At 52.3% G+C, this 23,297-nt stretch overlaps 1 protein-coding gene across 2 annotated transcripts in view, besides 3 other annotated features; it reads left to right on the top strand.

Moving 5' to 3' along the window:
* KLHL29 (kelch like family member 29) overlaps positions 1–23,297 on the top strand; it is a 323,428-nt gene that overhangs the window by 152,526 nt on the left and 147,605 nt on the right. The window lies entirely within an intron of this gene.
* Positions 7,561–8,062: an enhancer, noted in NCBI's record as "H3K4me1 hESC enhancer chr2:23768135-23768636 (GRCh37/hg19 assembly coordinates)". NCBI's record gives its function as "activates a minimal SCP1, AML or CMV promoter by ChIP-STARR-seq in primed H9 embryonic stem cells {active_cell/tissue: H9 hESC(primed)}" and the evidence as "EXISTENCE:reporter gene assay evidence [ECO:0000049][PMID:30033119]".
* Positions 15,903–16,842: an enhancer, noted in NCBI's record as "H3K27ac-H3K4me1 hESC enhancer chr2:23776477-23777416 (GRCh37/hg19 assembly coordinates)". NCBI's record gives its function as "activates a minimal SCP1, AML or CMV promoter by ChIP-STARR-seq in primed H9 embryonic stem cells {active_cell/tissue: H9 hESC(primed)}" and the evidence as "EXISTENCE:reporter gene assay evidence [ECO:0000049][PMID:30033119]".
* Positions 16,843–17,782: an enhancer, noted in NCBI's record as "H3K27ac-H3K4me1 hESC enhancer chr2:23777417-23778356 (GRCh37/hg19 assembly coordinates)". NCBI's record gives its function as "activates a minimal SCP1, AML or CMV promoter by ChIP-STARR-seq in primed H9 embryonic stem cells {active_cell/tissue: H9 hESC(primed)}" and the evidence as "EXISTENCE:reporter gene assay evidence [ECO:0000049][PMID:30033119]".

Here is a 23,297-nt window from a genome sequence, read left to right on the forward strand (position 1 = left end):
ATCTGGAGCTTGGCCACCTGCAAGAAGCTGCATGTCGGGTGGGAAACTGGAGAGGCAGGGCTCAGGGCAGCTGGCACCACCAAGTCTACTTAGGGATGGAAGGCTGGGTTCTCAAGGAGCTCATTGGATCCTGGTTTGACACTTTGGGCTGTTAGAGGCTTTGGAATGTGTCCAAAGGGTGGCAGGATTCATGCCACAGCCTTCATGACAGTAGGAAATACTTCCAAAACCCCATGATGATTTATGTGTGAGGAAAAAGGAGGCTCTGGTCTGTAAAGGAAAGTTGCTCCAGAAGCACTGAGGGTACCTACAGATCTCACTTTGAGAATTAGAACGAGGGTGGATCACTGAGCCCGTTTGGCTGGACCCCAGTTAGTATTTGGGAAAACAGACCAGAAGGAGCAAGGACTTACTCAAATTCATACCACCAATAAGTAGCAGAACTAGGATGGATCTCGGGTTTCTCTTGACTCGTAGTCCAGGATTCCTTTGGCCACAGAAATAGAATTATGAACCAAGTAAGGCAGCCCTTCTCAATGGATTCTGCATTTCTAAAAGCTCTCAAGTGATGCTGGACCTAAGGACCACACTTTGAGAAACAAAGATGCCTGACGTCAGTTTCACTTTTAAGGAAGCCAGATGGCATGGGTGCAAAGCTGGAATTCCTAATTCTCCCTCCTATCTGTTTGGCTCCATTCTTATTCTGTTTTATCTTTATCAAGATGTCTAAAAGCTTTTGGCCTAGACCCTCAACAAGGAGATTATCTGTCATCCTTTGTCAGCTCCTTGCTACCCAGATCCCAGCCTCTCTCTGCCATACAGGAAGCTAAAATCGTGACTGAAACGTCCATTCCAAACACTCAGAAGAGTGTGCCTGTGGCTTTGTGGGGGTGAATGTGAGAATGATCTTTGGTTGTGGGGAGGGACACACTGTGGAATATGTCACTCTGTTAGCTGTCTGGGCTGCACATTTGTGACAGTGTAACAATTTGTGCCATTGATCTATTTCAGAATAAGAGGTTCTGAGTGGCAAGATTGTCAGGGCCTTTGCTTGTTCCACCAGTTCTCACTGATCTGGAAACCTTTCCTAGAGATTTGGAGCCTAGATTGAGAGAAAGAACAGAAGGCATCTCTGAGTGACTGACAAAACAAATAGGCATCACCAAATGTGTGCACACAAAATCTCGTTCTTTCTTCATCATCAATCCCTCCGGCTTTAATTCAGAATTGTTCTTTAAAAAATACAAATTGACTATAAGATTGATTAGATGCATTCCAAATTCAGAGCAAATTCTGCAAACTCCTGATCTGGCAAGGATGAAGAGAAGGGCTGGGAAAGATCGTACCAGCAAGAAAATTTTGCTAGAAGCTAATCAGAGGTGAAGCAACTGCCAAACTCTAAAATTTTATATCCACGCTTAGAAAGCACGGCAGCCACCCAGGGCTGATGAGTGTAGGGACCCTGGATCCCTGAGTCCTGGGGATCGTACTGGTTCACAGCCCTAGGTGTCTCTGTTACGTTCAATTCTGTTCAGCAGATTGGGAAGTATGCAGTGTACTGCAGAATATTTTATCTTTTAAATGGCTAAAATGTTTTATTCTTGTTTAAGATTGGATGTTGAAAGGAATTGATTTCAGTTATCTCAAAAATATGTCTGTATATAAGAAAAATGAGACAATAATAATCCTAGCAGACTGATGATGCTTTGCTAGCCTTATCCTGCCTCCTTTTTTTTTTTTTTTTTTTTTTTTTTGGAGACAGGGTCTCACTTTGTCACCCAGGCTGGAGTGCAGTGATGTGATCTTGGCTCACTGTAACCTCCGCCTCCCAGGCTCAAGCCGTCCTCCTGCCCCAGCCTTCTGAGTTGCTGGGACTACAGGTGCGCACCATCACACCAGCTGATTTTTGTATTTTTTTTAAGAGATGGGGTCTCACTATGTTGCCTAGGCTGGTCTTGAACTCCTGGGCTCAAGTGACCCCTCTTCCTCAGTCTCCCAAAGTGCTAGGATTGTAGGCATGAGCCACTGCACCTGGCCATTATCCTACCTCCTTCTGACTCCTTCATACATTGTATTTCCTCATTCTCTTTTTCCAGCCACTTCTTGGCAGTCTCCATAGTTTAGCTTAGGTATACTTTTCTCTTTCCACAGTCTGAGCGATTATCCCCTAAACTCCAGTGACTCCAAAAGCTTGTTTCTCTAGGCTCCAACTTCTGTTAAGCAACCTTCGTCCCATCGTTCCACCTCAGACCTCCATCCTCCTCTGTAATCCTCATTTCAGGGAACAGGTGTGCCGCCCACCAGCCCTGTGAGTTGACTCTGGCATCCTCCCACTTTGGAACTTCCTCGTTTCTGGCTCCTAGTTGTTTCCCCTGCCCCATGTTAGACCCTCCTCAGTCCTTGCCTGGGCCATTTGCCTTCATGTCCCCCAGGATCTTCTGTGTCCAGGCTCCCGTCCTGCAATCCCGCCCCCTGGTACCTGCCCAGCCCCCCAGAAGTGGTCACTTTCCCTCACACTTCCTCTGCCGGGGCCGTGGTCCACACCTGCACTGTCCAATACAGTAGCCACTAGCCAGTATTTGTATCAATTACAATTAAATAAAATGTAAACTTCAGTTCCTCGATCATGCTGGCCAATTGTCAAGTGCCAACAGCCCCAGGGGGCTTCTAGCTTCCATATTGGACAACACAGATCATAGAAGCGTTTCCACCATTGCAGAAAATCGTACTGGCTAGTGCTGGTCCACATTGTCCTTTCCTCTTGAGCATCTTTCTTTCCTCTCCTTCTCTCCAAATCCTCCCTCTTTCCCAAAGAGTCACATAGACACATCCTTACATCCCAAACCTCATCTTCAGTAGCGCAGAACTTGGCACTTCTCTGAGGGTACACTGGAACATAGAACTCTTTTGGTTGCAGTAGATGGGAACCCAACTCAAACTAACTGAAGCACAAAAGAAAATGTGTTAACTCTTGTAATGGAGAGGCACAACTCAGGCTTCAGCACAGCCAGATTCAGTCACTCATGTACTGTTGGACCTCGTCCATCCCTCCTCCACTGCCCTCTGTGGCCAGCTTCATGCTCTGTCCTACAGACCGTCCCCTCCCCATGACCAGAGAGGACGGCCAGGAGTAGGCCCTGCTTACATCTTTTCTGGGCATGATCCTGAAGGAAGAGAGACCTTTGTTTTTGGAGTTCATATATCGTATCTATGGGATTTGGGTCTGTTTGGGTCATGGACCCTGATTCAATCCTTATGGCCAGGGGGATAGAACACCCTGATTTGCCTGGCCTGGTCACGTGCTTACCCCAGGGGTGGGGCACAACACCCAGCCATAGCTAATGGGCTCCCTGTGGGAAAGAAAGATCCTACTATCAGATAAAGGAGGGAATGGATCAGACAAAATGCAGATTTCACAACTGAATTCTGTTGGGAACCTTTCTCACTTTCTTCGCTTGACAGGAATCTGGATGCCTGACAAAGTATCTGAACAGATGTTCAACAAATATTTGGTGTGTTAACGGAGGGAGACGTGAATGGATGGATGCATGGGTGGATGCACGGGTAGATGGATGGATGGATGGATAAGTAGATGGACAGAAGATGGGCAGTTATATGCCTAGCTATGGAGAAGGCCAGAGGAGAGAACCGGGCTCCAGAACTCAAGGGGCTTCCTTCCATGCTCATCAGAAGCCTCTGCCTGTCTTATGGTCTCAGATCTTCTTGAGGATTGGTTCAGCCCTGCCAGACCATGGGCTCCTTGAGGGCAGTCCTCAGCCAAATCCATCTCTGCCAGCACTCACAGCCCCAGCACAGTGCTGAGTGCCTGGCCAGGGCTGGCTGGTGGGCTGAAAGTGAGCGGCAGCTCTGTGCATCTCTTTGTTGTAGCTGGAAGGTAAGACAGGAGCTAACCAGCAATGCAGGGTGATCTCATCTGGGTGTCAGAGGCAGCAACCCTTCCCAGATTGCTGGTCTCGGACACAGTGCATTCACCGTTCTTTCTCAAGTCCCTCGCAATCGAAAACAGGATTTTTTAAAGAGCTTTTAAAAAAGCCCAACCCAAAAAACAAAAAAAAAAAAACCATAAAACTGGTGCTCCCAGTGGACAGCAGCAGGGCTGGTGCCTTCTTGTGTGAGATGATTTGTGGATTGAGGCCCCAAGTCCAGATCCTGGGAAACAGTAGGTGTGTCTTCCATCCAGAAGCTCTTGTTTCTGGCAATGGCCGTAGTGGTGCAGCTGCTCAAACTGTCTAGAAAACTGAAGAATTAATCCTGGGAAGTAATTAGCTCTCCTGGGAGGGGTTGGGCTGTGTGCTGCCTGTTGTTAAGTCATTGTCGTCATACTGATGGCCTTGGGAAATGGCATTAAGAAGTCTAAAGGGCTGAGTCAGGCAACCAGGGTGGTGGCAGTGTTTTGTTTTCTTTTAATTTCCAACCCTTTGATCTCTTGTCTAAAATAGCCTCTCAGAATTTAGCAATTATATTTCTTCCCTGGTTAATACTGTTCCCTTCCTCTCTTCAATTGCATCTTTTTCGGTACATGTATTTGTTAAGGAACAAAAATGAGTTAGGCATTTAGAGGACTTACTTTAGTCCCAGTAGACCCACCTGCCTGGAAAATTGGATGCCTAGGGAGGCTTGTGCAGATGAGAGGGCTCCATCTGCACAGGGGTTCACCAGTTGGCTATAACCAGGTCTGCTGGGGAAGCTCTCCCACCTTGGTGTCTCTGGTTCTCTCCCTCTATCTCTTGTTCTGTTTCCATGGGGCATGTGTGCTCTGATGGGGACAGCCCGCGTTCAGGGTTTGGCTATTTGGGGAATTGCTGAGTCTCCTACTTTCTGGAGTTGACCTTTTCTGCAAAGCACATGCCATCCTCGGGGCTTGTCAGGCATTTGGAAGGGGACAGTCTCCAGGGAGCCAGCATCCAGCCACTGTCCTTCCTGCATTCTCTCCCCAGGGTGGAGGCCAGAGAGAGATCGTTCTTGCAGAGGAGGGGCAGGCTTCTGCCTGAACCCTCAGAGAGCCTCACCTGGACCAACTACAAGTTGCTCAGCCCCGGGGAGTTGAACCTGGAAGATGATCTCATAGCAGCCACCTGGGCCTTTCACCAGGGACACCTGGGGAAGGAACCAGGTCTAGTTACCACTCAGGCAGCTCCTGCTGCATTGGATCCAGGCTCTTTGTGACCTTGGGCAAGTCACTCCCAACTGTCTGAGCTTCTGCTTCCTCCCCTGGGAAATTAAGATTGCATTAGTCGGGGCAGGCTAACTATTGGAACAAACCACCCCAAACTGTAGTGGCTTAATCATGTAGCTTCCTTCTCAAGTCACGGTGTGGGATGGGTCAGTGAGAAGCAGCTCTGCTCCAGGAGCCCGAGAAGAACCAAGCCTCCTTGTGCAGTGTGTCCCTGCCGTCTGCGCCTCATCCTCCTCTGCAGTGGACAGGGAAAGAGAGATGAAGAAGACATCTCTGCTCTAACCACATGGTCTAGAGGGACCCGAGTCACTCGCACACACATTCTGCACATGTCGGCAAGAACTCATTACACGGCTCCAGCTAGAATCAAAGGGGAGCTGGAGAGTGTTGTCCAGCTGTGGTCCCCAAGAAAGAGGAGGGCACAGACATGGGCAGCGCCGGCGACCTCTGCCACAGAGATGGTGATGAAAAGTCCCTCCCCGGGATGTGCGGGAGGGTTAAATGTAAAATGTCATCATTCTTCAAGCACAGTGCCTGACCCCCAGTAGGTAGGGGGATATTGTTATTTTTCTTGTTTCTTCTCCCGGATATTCCCTTGAGGTTTATGCAAATAGCAGACCAAGGCAAGAAATGAAATCTATGTCCCTGCCCTCTGAAGTTACTGATTTCCGTGTTTCCTTGCAGTGTAACGTTTCATTAGACCTTCCAGATGGGGGAAAGAACAAGCAGATTAGAAGTCAGATAGTGCCTAGGAGCCTGCTCCATCGGTTTCTGGGACGGCTGGAGCTTCAAAGCTATTTGGTATTTCCACTGCCGAAAGGCCTCCTCGGGAGCAGTTGTGTTTTAATAAATGGCTGCCTGAGTAATTTTCCTCGGAGGAATTGCGTCGTGGATGTGTACGCTCCTGGGGGAGAGCTGGCTGCTCCCTCCACCACTCCAGATGCTGGTGCATTATGAATAGGATGCTTGGGGCTGGGGGAACTGGCAAGCCTGCCCACCCCGGGCTGGTGATGTCATCTCCCAGGTCCACCAGGTGGACTCTCCAGGGCTCTGGGTCGGGGCTTGCTGGACAGGGAGAGTAGGAGACATTTGTGCAACTGGCCTGAACTGCCCCTTCCCCATGGCCGCTGGCAAAAGCAACCGCTTTAAGACCCAGGGGAATAATTCATTTCTTTGACATAACCTGACTGATGCTGCCCCCATCAGATAGGGGCAGTCTGGTGGGTGGGGCAGGGAAGGAGGGAAGAACAGGCCTGAGTCCAGGATCTTGCCCGTCTGTGGGGAGAGAAGACGGGCACGAGAACCACGGTGATGTGGGATTGCAGCGTGCTTCATTCACTCGTTATTTACGGAGCCCTACCAGAGGCCGGGTATTGCCTGGGCCAAGATACAGCATTGAACCGAGCTGGCAGGTGGAGACTGTGGTGCCTGAGAGCAGGTCTCCGGGGCTGCGCTGCCTGGGCGTGAATCCTCCTCTGCCACTTTCTAGCTGGGAGACTTTGGGCCAATTGCTTGAGCTTTCTGTGCCTCAGTTTCCTAATCTGGAAGATGGAGATAGCCATCGGAACAGCTGCCTCACAGAATTGTTATGTAGATTAAATGAGTCTGTGTTTAGAAGCACTGCCCTTAGGGAACTCACACTCCAGAGAGGGGACACACAGAAATCTAAGTAAGTAAACTATATAGGCCAAGAGAAGGCAATGAGAGTGAGCGGGAAAGAAAGCAGAGAAAGAAGTTGCCATTTTACAATAGGATGGGCAGAGAAGGCCTCACTGAGAAGGCAACATTTGAGAAGAGGCTGGAAGGCAATAAGAACGCTGGCCGTGTGGATAGTGGGGAGGATGGGCCCGGCACAGGGAGCAGTGTGTGCAAAGGTCCTGAGGTAGAATGGGGCCTAAAGTGATGGAGCCGCTGCAAGGAGGCCAGCATGTTGGAACAGAGGGGCAGGGGGAGACCAAACAAGAGAGGGGAGTGAGCACCAGGGCCTCATGGGTCTTAAGAAGAAGGCCTTTGGCTTTTTCTTAGGGTAGGATGGGAGCCATTGCAGGGACTTGGGAGAGATGATCTGGCTTGTGTTTTAACAGGATCACTCTGGCTGCTGGGTGGAGAATACTCTGAATGAGGGTGAGGAAGGAAGGAAGGAGACGTGTTTAGGAGGCTGTGGCAGAAATCCAGCTGAGAGATGACAGAGGCCCAGGCCAGGGTGGACGTGGGAAGAAGTGGTTGGTGTTAGGAGGAAACACAGCTGCCAGCCGAGGAGGCTGAATGTATAAGAAGCATTTGTGAGTGAGAGACGAAAGGTCTGCAGGCCAGGGCTGGTCATGAGTCCAGGAAAAGATAGAGAAAGAAGAGCACTGGCTTCAGAGTCGGGCACAAGAGCCTCCTTCCAAGCACCACCACTTCCCCCAAGTGGCCTTGAGCAAGCCACCGCATCACTGAGCCTCAGTTTCCCCTTCTATAAAGTGGAGGCAGTGCTATGACACACGCAGTTTAAGTGACTTGCAGAGTAGCAGGCATGCTGTCGGTGCTCCGTAAATGCTCCCTGCTTCCCCTTTCTGCTGCCTGTTTGCAGCTGGGTAAGGAAGGCTTGGCGTCCTCGGGGTGGGGTGTCCCCAGGCCAGGAGGCTGACACCCGCAGAGCTCAGGGGTGTGGAGAGAGATGCAGGCACCACCTCGTGGTAAGCGAAAGGGGGTGCTGGCATCTCCATCTCTGATTTCATAGTGAAATTTGCCAGGCACTTCCTCTAGGCAGGAGGCCCTGGAGTATGGGGTGATTAGGCCCCGGCTACACTGCTCCTGGGGACGAGTCATTTCCTTTGTAGCCAGGGAGTGGGTGCCAGCCCAGTCCTCTTCTCGGGCGTGAAAAATACTGAGTTCCTTTTATTCTAGCCCCTGAAGGCCATCCTGATGGTGCCAGGTTGGCATCTGACACCAGAGTCCCCCCAGCCTCAGGTGGGGAACACAGCTTTCTCTGGACTCCCTTCCTCCCGCCTCATCCAAGGCCAGTCCTCTGCAGACCCCTTTGTTGAGCCCCAGACAGTGGGTGTCAGCCCTGCTCTGTGTGCCGCTGCAGGGCCAGCCCTCTGTAAATGGACTGCCTGTGCCTACAGACCGGGTTGGGCTGAGCCAAGAGCAGATGGTGTCTCCCTCCCTCTCCCAGGGCCTGCTGCAGCTGAGATCTGGCCTGCAGACAGCTCTCCAGACCCTCTCAGGGGCCCTGACCCCATCATCCCCATTGTCCTTAGGGTGCCCACTCCCTTGCCTGAGGCTGGGCTCTGTGCAGCCACACATGTGACTGTGGGCAGGGAATGTGACTGATGGGTGTGAGTAGGGCTTCCACCCAGGCAACTGGCAGGGGTGGCCAATGCAGTGTGTTTTCAGAGCTTAGTATGTCATCAGATACAGGGGACCCTGCAGAATGAGGGCTAGAAAAGATTGGGGCCAAGGGATGAGGCAGCAGAGTGACCTGGAATCATCAGGAAGACTTCATGGAGGAGGCAAGAGCTGAGCTGGAGGAGGAGTGAATCATTTATATCAAGATGTGAAATAAAGCTATTCCTGTTGTTTTGGGGCCTCAGGTGAGGCCCCAGGCTGTGCATGAAAGGTATCCGGCACCCCCACATTAGAAAGAGGAGCTAGACAGCCCCAGGGCCCGTCTCTACTCCCATGAGAAAAGCTTTGGGCTGACTATAGGGAGCAGCGATCCTAGAAGAGAGCTGGCCTAGGAGGGAAACTGAGGCTTCTCCCCCTCTCCCGGGGAGGAGCTCCCCACTCTACCAGCCCCTCAACCAGTACTCTGTGGGAGCTGCTGCTACCCCAAGACTGGGGTACCCCAAGCACTTAGAAGGATGTGACCTGTGTTCCTTGGAATTTGGGGGACACCAAGGCTGTGCCTGAATCTTACCAGGAAGTGTCCAGATGCAAAAGGCTCCCGGGGATATCTGGAACATGCAGTGGAGAGCGAGGGTTGTGCTGGTGGCAGTAGGACCAGAGTTGGTCATCAAGGGAGAGTTATGGTTGTGAGTCCAGAGTGGACACTGCACAGGGAGACAGACTTGAGCCATCTGGGAAGACCCTGCCCAGGAGGACAGCCTGCCAGGGTGTGAACCATCAGAGCCGCCTGAGGGAGCATTTCCAGCAGAGCACACACCCTCGTGGAGCTCCCGCAGAGAACCCACCACAGTGCCACAGCGGAAGGAGGGCCGGCACCGGGTCTCTGCACACGGAGGCTGTCTCTGCCCGTTTACATCACTCTGCTCACACCTTGCCCTTGTGCTCCCAGCCCCGCTCCCTGGCCACTCTGGGGAGGCTGAAGCAGCAGTTAGTGAGAAGGAGGCAAAACCAGAGAAGGGCGATGCTGCCATTCTCATTACCCGATTCCGAGCCTGGGTCCGGCCAGAGCTGGGGCAGAGGGGAGAGGCTGTGGACCAGATATGATAAGAGTTCTGATGAAAGATTGGACTGGGCTTTGGAGAGACCAAGAATGTGATCATGTTTAGGATTGACCTAGCCATTTACTAGCTTTGTGGCCCCACAGGTCACTTAAACCTTTACGTTAATTAAACCCCTCCCTGCCTCAGTTCAATTAAAGTACCTGGGGATTAAAAGAGCTGGTGCATGCACAGCCCTTGGTACGGTAGCCAGCACACAGTAAGTGCCCAGAAAGTGTTCGCTTTCCGTAGTAGAAGTGGTAGCAGTAGCAATAGTTGTGACAGCAGCAGTAGTACTTCTACCGATAGACATCGTGCCCAAAAGTGACCACCCCTCCCGCCTCCCCCGAGAAAAACCCCAAATGCTATTTGGGCCTAACAGAGTGCATGTGAAAAGAAGTAGCGGGAGGAAAAGATACTTGTTTGCTACTTACATCCTGCTGAGTTCAGCCTCAGAAACCAGTTACATGGCCATCATTTCACAGGCTCTGTAGTGAGAAGACAGCAGTGCTGGATGAGGCCAGGAGCAGCAATCTCTGCAGTCTAGGTGGTCCAGGAAGGCTTCCAGGAGGAGGTGAAGGCACAGAGTAAGGCCACCAGCAATACAGAGGTGGCGCTATGCCACTGGGAAAAGAGAGTGGTCTGAGGCCTGTGTGCGTGGCCACATCCTTCTCACTCACACACCCTGTCTTGGGACAGTTCAGCTCAGCAGACATCAGTGGAACCCCCGGACTATGTCAAGCCGAGGCAGGGCCCTGGGGACACTGAGATAAGGAGCAGGCAGGCCGTGGCTTCAAGGAGCTGCCAACCTCATGGGGTTAAAGAGAAAAATCATAGAATGCCAAAGGAATTTTGCTAAGATGAATTCAGGGGTACTGCAGGGCTCAGAGGAGAATGCAGCCCAGCTTGGGGACCCTGTGAACACACACAGGCACCCAGACACACAGGCGCACACACACAAACACACACAGGCACACACACACACAGACACAAGCACACAGACACACACACAGGCACACAGGCACACACACAGGCACACACAGACACACAGACACACACATGCACGCACCCTCTTCCCTCACTGTCTTTTCCCCAAAACCATTTCTCTTTCTGGGCACATGATAGAGTTGCATGTCCCCACCCACTTAGAGTTAGATCGTGACCACATGGCTTGCTTTGGCCAATGACACCAGAGCAGAAAGGACACATGCTTTCCAAGTGAAAACCTTGAGAGCCAGTGTGCGATGCGCCAACCCATCTCTCCTTTTGCCACAGTGGCCAGTCTGACAGCCGGGGTCCTAGAGAGTGGATGGCCTGGCACAGGGCCCCCAGCCGACCAGCAGTGAGCGCGTGGCAAGCAGTGAGTGCGTGGCATGAGTGAAAAGCGTACCTCGCCGAAGCCATTGAGGTTTTGGGGACTGTTTAGCATCATAGCGTCACCTACCTATCCAGGCTGATGCAACCATCATTATTTTTAAGCGGCTAAAATAGAAAACTGACCCTGATTGAGTCTTCCGGGGGCTATGTGGGCCCTCCTCTGTTACAGCCCCCCTGCCCTGGGAGTGGAAGATCTGGATTCTAATTCGTCTCTGTCCTAAGGCTCTGAGACTCGGTTACCACCATTGTCGAAGGGGGTCACTGATCCCTTCCCCGCCTGCCTCCCCAAGCTGCTGGGAGAGAGTCCAACAAGGTGGGTAGGGGGATGTCTTCAGAGACCTGGGAGTTAGGGAACAGCCTCTGAGCACTGCATTCATCAGCGTCCCCGCCTTGGGCCCTGGAGGTCACAGGGAAGGTCACCCTTGCTCTGAGTCAGGCAAAGGACACATCAGGAGGGGAGGACCCCAGCGGGGTGTGGTGCTCCTCGCTGCCAGTATGCAAGGGGCCAGCAGTCCCAGGCTGCCCAGCGGGGGTGGAAGTGGCAGCCTGGAAGCAAAGTATCCCTGCTTGGTTAATCTAAAAATAAACAGAAAGGCAACAAAATCTATGTTTCAATTACTGCACACAAGCTGTTCAAACAGCCAGCTCTGCACTGGAGATGTGAACTTGTCAACAGAGGCTGCCTCGTTTGCATGCTTGGGTGGTGATAAAACACACAACCTCGCAACAGGCTGCCCTCTGGTCTGGGCTTCTTTTTTTTTTTTAATTAAATTAAATTAAAAACACGGACATAGAATAAAGACGATGAAAATCTGAAGCAAACACATCAAGATAGGGTAGCAGCTCCCAACTTCAAAACAAAGAAGGCTGTGCGGTTGGAGACAGCCTGGTACTGAGGTCAGCAGGGGAGTGGGCAAAACAGGGCTCAGTGGCCAGGAACAGAGGACAAAAGTCTCTCCCAAGTGACCAAAAACGCCCCTTCCTTGGGGGTCGCTGCTGATCCTGGAGGAAGCTCCAGTGGGCAGTGTGAACCTCTAGTTCCCAAAGCCAAAGTCAAGGCCCCGGAGATCCCCTCTGTCGGGGAGAGATGGGCTATAGGCCAGCCAGCAGGGGCTCTGGGGGTGAGCCAGCAGGCTGCTTGCATGGCGGGCAGAGCTGGGACTGCCATCCTTGGCTGTGCTGCCTTTCGCCACCCATCTTAATTAGACACTGTCCTAGCTAAGACGCAGTCTCCTTTCTGATGAATGGGAAATGAATGGAACCCCAGGGAGCTGGGCCACCCTGGGGTTCTGGGTCTACCCTGGCCTACCCTGCCTGCTCCAGCCCAGCGTGGTCCCTCCCCTGCCCCCCAGGGTGTTTTTCCGTTTTATGGCTGTGCCCTCCTGAACAGCCCTCCCTCCCTGAAGGCAGGAGCTGTGCCCTGTTCTTATTTCCTCTCAGTATCTTGCACTGAGCCGGGTATAATGGGGAAGGAGGTGGGCAGTGAACTTGACATGATTTGATGAGAAAAGGGCAGATCGTGCATTAACCCAAGGGCATGCCTGGGGAATTGCTTGAGAGGGAAAGGGGGGCACGAAGGCCTGACTCATGGAGTGGAGCGCCAGAACAGGAAGTGGGCTACGTCATGGTTTCCTGGGGAGGGATTTGGACAAGCAGGAGGCCCCCCAGGTCCCACTAGAGATGGAGACCAGAAAGGTGGGCACTGGTGCTTAATGCTGGTGAAAGGTTCGTTCCACAAATCCTGCTCACTGAAGTGGCTGTCGGTTTTGCATTCACTCCGGACAGGGATGTTAATGTCCCCGGCCCTCGGAGCAATTCCGCAGCCGTCAACCCAGATGCTAGTTACTCGGTGAAATAAAAGAGTGGTCGAGTCTCTCCCGAGGAAGATAATATCCTGTCACAGGCAGTATGATCTGCCGGCCATGTGACAGCCGTTCCCTAATGTTTCCAAATAGACTTTTGAATAGACTCTTGTCTAGAAGAAAGCAAATTGCAAGAGCATTTTTGGCAGCCAAATAGAGAGAAGGCATCAGTCTTTCTTCTTTGCAACTCTTGCCACTGGGTCTGGCTCCAGGCACCGAGTAGGATTCATTCATCAGCTTGGGCCACTGATGAACACCATTTCCTGTGAAGAGGGAGCTTGTTGAATTAGTCAATTCTGCAAGATCTAGAATAATCAGGCATGCCTGAGAGGCGGCCCTGGGAGGGGGTAAGCCTGCTTGGAGAAGGAAAGTTACAGCAAAATCCATCTCAAAAGACTGGGATCGTGTGTTTGCAGGACTACAGGGAAACGGGGCTGGAGTTTTCAGTGTTTGCGTCCTTGTGGAGCCACGAGAACAAGCAGTTAGAAGGAGCCACATTGGTTATTCGTAATGACAACTCTGGTTGATGCTCCTCTACGTAATCAAATGGTAGCCACCACAGCTCCCTCATCGATCCTGATGTTTACAAGTTCCTAATTTATACACGCCTCCCTTCTTCCCTCAGTTTACGCTGATATTGTGTTGCCAACTGTCATTTCCAGTATCTTTTTTATTTTTCATTATCACCATTTTAATGATTTACACCAGGAGCAATAGCACAAATGCCTAGTCAATTAGTCCCACGAGAAAAGTCTCTGAATCGTGTGTGCTTTTTTGAAAAAAAAATCACTACATCAAAACCCACGGCCAGATTTTCTCAAAGCAAAGGTGCACATGGGAAGGGAGGGAAATGGGAGGCTTGTTCTTTTAATATTGTTCATCTAAAACGGGCACTAGTACTGCTTTTCCAAGACAGGGAGATTGCTTTTTGTGCAAGAAATGGTGCCCAGAAATGGAATCGGTGGCATTTTTCCTGAAACTTAACCACCAGAAAAGCATTTTGAACATTTGTCTTTTTAGATCATGTATTAAGCCCTGTCATTATGGAATATGGCTTTTTCCAAATATATATCTGTCCCCCAGGGCCATCTAGGGAGTCAGAATGCCTGGATCCTAGGGCCGAATCCAGGCCTGCTAACTCGCCAGATCTTAGGCTGGTGCGTCTCAAACTTTAACTTGCATGTGAGTGGATCCTGTCCCATTCCCCACCCCTCATCTTGTTAAAAATGCAGATTCTGACTCAGTAGTCCCAGGGCAAGGCCCAAGACTCTGCATTTCTCACAAGTCCCCAGGCGATGCTGTGGCTACTGGACTATGGACCACATTTTGAGTAGGGAGGAGATAGGCCACTATGCCCAGCCCTGGGCTTCACCCTCTTGCTTTTCCTGGGTTATAAAATGCGAAGGTCAGTGCTGGACTGCTTAACACCAGCAGGATGTTGTGAGGCAAATGATGTAGTGGCTCTAAAAGAACCTTGTGTGGTTAGGGCACTTCCCAGAAGACCTCCCCTCTGAGCAAAGGCTGAAGCACACAGCACAACCACAGTGCTGTTAATCACGGGTCCTGTGTTGTTACAGGGGCTCTCCAAATCCTCTTTGGCTTTGTGTAACTGAAACTTCGTGTCTTGAGACCAGCACCTCCCGTTTAAGTGCTCTCACTACAAAAGGAAAACAAGGCAGGAGCAGAGCGCAGAAGAAACTTCTGGCCATGCTGGCTGTGCGCGTGGCATTGATAGTGATGATGGTTTGATGGTTTGGGGGATGGGTATATTCCCAAACACATCAAGTTGTACACATTAAATATCTGCAGCTTTTTGTACATCAATCACACCTCAATAAAGCAGTTAAAGAAAAAAGAAGAGCCTTGTGAAGGGTGAGGACTTGCTGCTGCTGTCCTGGCCACTGTGGGGTGTTTAGGGTGAGGGTCCTTCCCATTACCCCTGGGACCAGCTGCACCCACTGCTGCTGAGGAAGATTCAGCTCTGCCAGACGTTCTTCCCTCAAAGCTTTGGACTGGCTGAGACCTGGGAACATGTGCAGGTTTCACTGGCATTGGAGAAAGCAGGCTCCCTGTCTTCTTTAAATATAAAGACAATGCCCTAAAGCCTTTGGTTCCAGAGATTGATGCCACCTGTGGTCCCCAGAGTGGAAGCAGACATCAGAGGTCACGGCTATAGCTCTGGTTTCTTTTCTTTTTTTTTTTTTTTTTGAGATGGCGTCTCACTGTGTCGCCAGGCTGAAGTGCAATGGCACAATCTCGGCTCACTGCAACCTCCGCCTCCCAGGTTCAAGCGATTCTCCTGCCTCAACCTCCCAAGTAGCTGGGATTACAGGAGCCCGTCATCACATCCAGCCAATTTTTGTATTTTTAGTAGAGACGTGGTTTCACCATGTGGGCCAGGCTGGTCTCGAACTCCTGACCTCAAGTGATCCACCCACCTCGGCCTCCCAAAGTGCTGGGATTATAGGCATGAGCCACCACTCCCGGCCACGGCTCTGGTTTCTAATGGGACTTGTCAAATCCCTGCCTCCCCTCTTTCCCCAGCCTGGAGATCCTGGTAGATGCTGCTCATTTGGGTTCAGACCCTGGACCCTGCAGCAGATGCTGCTGGAAACTTCTGGCTGCAAAGCAACAGGACCTGGTTAGGTGGTCTGCACACTGGCCCTGGCTGAGTGGGGCCTGATGGCGAGGTGGCTGGTGAGGACTGGGGGCCAGGATGGGAGTGGAAATGTGGCAACGAGAACCTTTCAGTTCACCTGGGGCCTTGATATTTTAAGAAAAGGAGCTAAAAATAAATCCACACCTTAGGTTCCTCATCCTAGAGTGGAACAGGAGAAGGCTGGCATCAGCCTGGGGCACTCCAGAGTTTCCTGGGTTTCTGCTGCCTCAGAAGATTTAAATGTGAGGCCTTGGGTCCAGGCTGGCACCTACACGTGGCCCCTGCAAACCCCACATTTCATGTCCACTTGGAGGTGCCGAACACCTCACCCCCTGAGGAATATGTCACTCTCAGAGGCTGTGTGAAGGGCCAGGGCTAGATGGTGAGGCGTAATTTAAGGACTCATCTCTTTCAGGGCAATATAAATGCAGACGGACCTTGATGGGGGGGCCTCCATACATTTTGGCCCCACCTGTCACTCTTCTCAGCCTAGTCCCAGCCCCGCCATGTGCCCCGTGCTGGGAGGGTCACTTTGGTCTGCCAAATGTTCCCTGAGCCCCCTGCCCCGGATGCCCAGCCCTGTGCTCGGGCAGCTCCAGTGGAGGAAACGAAGGGGGAAAGGTGGCCCTGTCTTTAGGGACGGGATCAGAACTCACACAGGGAGTAGAACATGCCAGTCCGTCGCTGGGGTCCTAGGCCTTTTGAGTCTGGCTTCTATGGGCTCTGAGAAGAGAGGGCGCATCAAAGAAGGCATCCAGCAGAGGAGGCCAGTGTGGGACTCACCCCTAGCCTCAGCCAGAAGCAAGACTTCTGAGCTAATGGGGGCTCCATGGGGCTGGGGGTCACTGGGGGCTGGAGCAGCCCCAGGAGGCAGGGAGGCATTTCCGAAGGGCATCCCCACCTCCCGCTAACATCCACGTCAAGTCGTGGCCAAGCCGCCTCTCCAGAAACACCCAGAGAGTTCCTTTGTGTTGCATTTGCCAAGATGGTGTTCTGGCTGCTGTTTAGTATTTTGCTCCAGAAGAAAGGCTAAAAGATGCAGAAAGGGAAACTAAAATAATAAAGACAAGCACAGACTGTTCCAATCGACTTGGCAGCACGTCTCCCCCAAATGAGGCAATCATACATTTTCTGATCGGGGCCGGCCGGGCCGAGGCTCATTCCTCAGCCAGCCACCTCGGCTTCCCTATCTGGAGACAGCGCGGGTCCCCTGCCTTCCTGTGGATTAATCATGCCTTCGGGGCCCTCACAGCCGGCCGCCCACTCCTTCGGCGTGTCTTAATGATAGGAACGAGGAAAGGGTCATTAGCCACCTGTGATCCTGTGTACAGTGTGTACACATGGTGCATGTTAATATGTGTGGGCCGCCACCAGCAGCCAGAATACTGTGTGTCACCGGACACAGATGGCCTCCATCCCGCCCATGAGCTCAGGTGCACGAAGCATCCTGTTCCTGAGCAGGCACTCTCCGGGCCCAGGGCTGAGGGCTGCTGGACACTGTTCCCTCTGCTCCAGCCCCACATGGACAATGCAAACACACAGAGGCTCATGGCGACTCTTAATTATTTACTCATGAATTATTCATGGTGAGGGTTTTCCAGGTGGGTCTGCGTGGCAGGGCTGCCGATCCGATCTCCAGCAAGTGTCCAGGAGTCCGACACCGCCCCCCAACACACCAGCTGGTGAGCAATTAGAAACACAGTCTGGGCCTGGGGCACCAGGATTTCCTTCCTGCAATATCCTCAGGCCCCAGGTAGCCCAAGCCTTTTGCAAGCCTGGGCCTGGGACATGAGGGCACTTGAGCCACAGGGAGAAGCTCTTCCATCAAGGCAGGCCCTGGGGCTAGTGACACGAGGTCCCCTGTGTCGTGGGTATTTATGGAGGATGACCTCCCCCCCCCCCTCAACTTGTGTCTCCCAGTGTCCCTGAGTGAGACCACCCTACAGGATCCTGGCTGACCTAGCACAGAGGGCCTCGGGAGCTGTGCATGTTTGCAGACACCAGGCCACACACACTGCTTCGGATTTGACTGTGTCTTTTTCCTCATCCCAGTAAACCTGCCCAGTTCCTGTTGAGACATGAGGGTTCTAGGGACAGGCAGTGGGAGAAGCCTTAGGAGGGAGCCAAAAGTCAGGGGCTGAGGCTACTTTGTCATCTTTATTTTGATCCTAGTTAAGACCCACCTGCCTCCTGCAAGGGAACAGAAGGAGCCCCTGGGGACAGGGTGGCCCATCCCTCATTCCTGCCTCTCCCAGGTGCTCTGGCACCCCATGATGCTGACCATGCTGAAGATTTGGCCCCATGTGCCAACAGGAAAGGAAGTGGCCAGTTTCCATTCATTCCCGAGGAACGGGCAGCCTGAGGGGAGGTTCGTCTGTGGAGGTGTGAGGTCAGGGCTCTGTCAGGTGGAGGACACTTTTTGGTGAGCAGGTGAGTCAGCAGGTGAGCCCACGCCTCATCCCTCAGAAGTAGGGAGATGGCAGGAATACACCCTTCACCGTCTCCTGGAGATAAGTGATGGGAGGGAAAGACCTTTCTGGCAGGGCCGGGGATGCTGTTGGGCACACCCCAGCGCTGGCCTCTGCCCCACCTCCTCTGAGAGATGATCCGAATTGTGAGGCAGTTGCACTTGACCATTGGGATTTTCCCCAGAGCTGGTGGATGTGGCATTGCTGCATTTGGTGATGCTGGGGGACCTTGTCCTAAGGTTTGGGGTGCACCTGTGTGCATTGAGACGCCAGCATGTGGCTCTGAAGGGGGGACTGGATTGCAGCAGGATCAATGACCGAACATTCCAAGAAGTGCTTCTGCCTGTCAGGAGCTCCCAGTGACGTGTTCCCTCCCTTGTTCACATTTGCTCCGGTTCTGTGAGGAGGTCTTCCACTTCCCCTCTCTGCTCCCTGGAGGTGGGGAGGTGCATCACAGAGAAGGCAGCGGGGAGCCTGACAGCCTGAGCTGGCTTCCTAAGTTGTGTGTGCAGTGTCCAGGCTCCAGACTTGAATCTGGGCTCAGAGCTGGGAAACCGAAGCCTGATGTCTGTCCCAGACTGCTACGAAGATGACCCCCCTCGCGGAGGCGCAGGCGTGGTGTTGACTGGCAGGCTCTGTGCACAGGGGAGACTTCAGGAGGCCAGGCATGGTGGCTCACACCTGTAATCCCAGCACTTTGAGAGGCCAAAGTGGGCGGATCACTTGAGGCCAGGAGTTTGAGACCAACCTGGCCAAAATGGCGAAACCCCATTTCTACCAAAAAAAAAACAAAAAAAATACAAAAATTAGCGGGTGTGGTGATGGGTGCCTGTAATCCTGTAATACGCAGGAGGCTGAGGCAGGAGAATCGCTTGAACCTGGGAGTTGGAGGTTGCGGTGAGCTGAGATTGCATCACTGCACTCCAGCCTGGGTGACAGAGCAAGACTCCATCTCAAAAAAAAAAAAACAGAAAGACTTCAGGGTTCTGCCCTCCTCCCCTCCCGTCTCCTGGCCAGCATCGGCTTTGCTGCCTGCAAGATCCCAAAGGCCAGAGCCAAGTTGGCACATAAAATACCTGTGAGGCCTTTCACATTTCACCCACGACTAGCACCAAACTGTCTCTACCCTGCACCTCAGCGTGGCCTATTTCCACCCGTGAATACAAGATTTTTCTAGCCTCTAGAGCATTTTCTTCACATGTGCATGTAATTTAAACAGGTGCTAGCAAAGCACTAACCCCACCCAGGTTCGAGTCCTAGTGTCTTTGTAAACGGTCCCCTCCATACAAAGGGATGGCTGCTGCTCAGCCTGCTCTGTCCCCCTTGGTGAAGGGCCCTGTGCCAGGCTCTGGCAGTTCACGGGCAGCCTGCCAGGAAAGGGGGCTCACCTTGACAAGGAAGCTTTGTGATGTGTTTTGTCGGTAATTGCTTGACCAGTCTCGTCTAACGTACCTCATCCATTCCAGGCCTCCTTCTGCCACAACTAGCATTTCCTGATGCCTCCCTCAACACCGCTCTGGGCACACATGTATGCCCATGGGACCTTGTGACACACTGGCTCGGTGCCCAGCAGAAAATATTTAAGTTGCCACCTTTGGTCCTTTAACTGTGCCGTCTCACTCAGGGTAAACCGTGCAACTCCTTTCTTTCATGACGTTTGAAAGGGGAAATTAAATTGAGGAATGAAGTCTCACCGAAAGGCTGGCATGCAAATTCTTGACCTTTGTTTTGAGTACACGTAATGAGGCTGCAACTAGATTTCAGGCTCCAGGCCCGGAGTCTCCATCTCCTGCCTGGCATTTTAAGGAGACTTGAGGAGCTGAGCATCAGGGTGGGGGACGGGAGTGGTGGGAGGTGCGGGGTGCTGGGGCCTGGGCTTTGCTTTCATTCACCAGAACTGTAAGGCGCGGGCATGGCATGGCCCAGCAGGTGGTCCCCAAGGCAGAGAGTGGAGAGGTTTTACTGGGGCCTAGGAGACCCCTTTGACCTGATCCCAAGCACATCTAGGCATGTCTCAGAGGGGCCGGGTTGCTGGCCGCCCTCAGTGCGTACCCTCCTCACCTCCATCCTCCCCAGCTGGAAGGAGATGGCTTCTTTGGCGATATGTGAGGTTGTGTTGTTTTGTAGGAAGGTAGGGACTGATTTATCACATCAGTCAGGCCAGGCTAGGCTGTGCTTAGGTAACACATAGACTGCCAATTTCAGTGCCTTATCACAACAAAGATTCACGCCCCCAGTATGCAACATCCAGTGTGCGTAGGGAAACGCTCTTCCATCAGATGGTGGCACCATCTGGAACATGTGGCCTCCAAGGTTGCCATGACGAGCGAAGGGAACTGAGGGTCATAGATGTTTGCAAAGGGCCAGGTCTGGAAGTGGTCTCCATCACCTCCCCACCCATCCTATCCGCCAGACTCCAGACACAGGAGCCCAACTTAACTGCAGTGGCAGCTGGGAGAGTTCCTCCTTGTGCCCAGAAAGAGGACATACTGTGGTGAATACATAACATCCTCTCTGCCACATTAGGATCCAACCCTAGGGATGCAGTGTCCCTGAGGCAGTGATGATCACGAGCCCCTTGTTGGCAGGTGAACCTTGGGAGAGGCGTCTACACTGTGAGCCCCAGCTGACCTCGACATGCAGATATTCTCCATTCAGGCCTGTCCTTCAAGGTTCGAGGTCTGATTTACTAGGACTGTAAGACATTTTCTCTTTTTTTTTTTTTCTTTGGTCTCACTCTGTCACCCAGGCTGGCGTGCAGTGGCACGATCTCGGCTTACTGCAACCTCCACCTCCCGGGTTCAAGTGATTCTCATGCCTCAGCTTCCTGAGTAGCTGGGATTACAGATGCACACCACCATGCCTGGCTAATTTTCGTATTTTTTTGGTAGAAATGGGGTTTCACCATGTAGGCCAGGCTGCTCTTGAACTCCTGGCCTCAAGTGATCCTCCCACCTTGGCCTCCCAAAGTTCTGGGATTACAGGCGTGAGCCCCCACGCCCAGGCTAAGGTAGGATGTTTTCTTACTCCAGCACCTACGTGGAACTTCCAGTCAGGAGACTCAGCGTTTCTTTCTGTGTCTGAGATTTTCTCTTCACACAAATGTGTTTGTCCTCTCTGGAAGTGCTCAGCAATGAAGAAAAAACAAGCATTAGTTTATTGATTCATTCAGCACACAGGTACTGAACACCCTTCTTTGCCAGGCACTGTTCAAGTTGCCGGGGTCACACAGAGAATGAGGACCCAAACCCTGTTCTCAAGGTAGCAGATAGACAGCAGCCGTGGCTGCAGGGAGGGCGGGCACCATTTGCTCAGGGGACTGGATGAGAGTCTCTCACCTGACCCAGAAGGGGAAAAGTAAGTTCAGGGTTCTAGAAGAATTGGTGCCTGAATTGGGTGGGTCATAGGCTGTAGCCGGGGGAGGGTCGGAAGCCATTCCTGGCAAAAGAGCAGCGTGGACTTGGACCCTGAGCTGAAAGGGGACATGAGGCTTCAGAAACCATAAGGCATTTGGAATGATGGGCCATGGTCTCTGGGGTAGGACGGGATGAATGAGAGGGGATGCTAGAAAAGGGAGCCCGCCCAGATCCTCTTCTGGGCCACCACGAAGAGTTGGAACCTTATATTGATGGACAGGATTTAAAGCAGGAAAGTAAAGTGTCATGATCATATTTGCCCTTTGCAAAACTCCTGTGGGCAGTTGGGTAGAGAATGGCTGAGAAGGGCAAGACTGGGGGCGGGCAGGCAGGCAGGCAGGCGAACTGAAATAAGGAGACACTGGGAGACAGTGATGGAAGGTCGTGGCTGCAGATGGAGAAGGGGGTAGATTTGACAGCAACTGAGGCAGAGGAATCTAAGACCTGGCTGTCGAACAGGGGAATGGAGATGAGGAGATAGAGGCGGCTTTCTCTGAGAGAGGGAATTCCTGAGGATGGGTGTTTGGGCGAAGGAACATTGCGCTAATTTAGCAACTTTGGGCGTTTAGGTACCTGTGGAACAGCTGGGGGAAGGTGTGCGGCAGGCTGCAGGGAGGTGGGGGTGGTGCTTAAGAGAGAGGAGAGCTGCAAAGGTAGCCTTGGGAGTTATCCAGAAAGAGGGGATGGAGGGATGAGATCATCCGGGGAGAAGAGGAGGAGGAGATCTGGAACCCGGAGGAGCCCCAGCTTTTTAAGAATGAGCTGAGGAAGAGGAGCCCGCCAAGGAGACTGAGAAGGAGCAGCCGAGAGGGAGGCGGAGGGCTGGGAGAGGGCTGGCATCACAGAAACTGCAGAGGAGGGTTCCGGAAAGCAAGGAAGATCAGCCACGTCGCAAGTGAGGGAAGTTGAGGACAGCGGCATAAATGTCCCCTTGGATTTAGCGAGTAGGTCACCCATGACTTCAATGAGAACAGTTCCCATGGAGTGGCCAGGGCGAAGGCCACAGCGGAGCAGGTCACAGAGTGAACAGGACGAGGAAACTGGAGCTAAGTTTAGACAATGCCATCAAGAAGTTCAGCCGAAAAAGTTTATGTGGGGAGATCAAAAGGGAATGGATTTTTATTTTTTAACCATGTAATATTGGATAGGCTTTTTTTTTTTTTTTTTTTTTTTTTTGAGACGGAGTCTTGCTCTGTTGACAGGCTGGAGTGCAATATCGCGATCTCAGCTCACTGCAACCTCTGCCTCCCAAGTTCAAGTGATTCTCCTGCCTCAGCCTCCTGAGTAGCTGGGACTACAGGCACGTGCTGCCACTCCCAACTAATTTTAGTGTTTTTAGTAGAGATGGGGTTTCACTGTGTTGGCCAAGATGGTCTGGATCTCTTGCCCTTGTGATCCGCCTGCCTTGGCCTCCCAAAGTGCTAGGATTACAGGTGTAGGCCACTGCATCCAGCCTGGATAGACTTTTTAAAAAGAATTTTTGTGTCATGGTGTAAGCCAGAAAGCATAATGGTGAAATAAACAGTGACACCACATCCAGCTGAAGAAGTTATGGTCAGCTCTGTTTCAGGCGGGGCTGCAGGCTTCACCTGGGCTGCAGGGTGGGTTCAGGTCTGCCCAGTGTGCCTGGCAGAGGGGATGATGGCCACCAGGGCACAGGCCAGCATGCAAGTAGAACATGGGTAGGAGGCTGCTTGGGTTGGGCACAGGCCCTGGCTCCATGGCACTAGAAGTTGACAACTAGGTCTGGATGTGCAAAGTCTGCAGTAAGAACAGGCTTTATAGATAGATATTTTTAAAATAAAGTGGCCCGTCTGTCCACTGGCCAACAATTCCAGGGTGCCTCCCCAGGGCTGAGCTGGACTGGCAGGATAGGAAAAGGAGCTGG

Source organism: Homo sapiens, chromosome 2, assembly GCF_000001405.40.
Source record: "Homo sapiens chromosome 2, GRCh38.p14 Primary Assembly".
Taxonomy (NCBI): domain Eukaryota; kingdom Metazoa; phylum Chordata; class Mammalia; order Primates; family Hominidae; genus Homo; species Homo sapiens.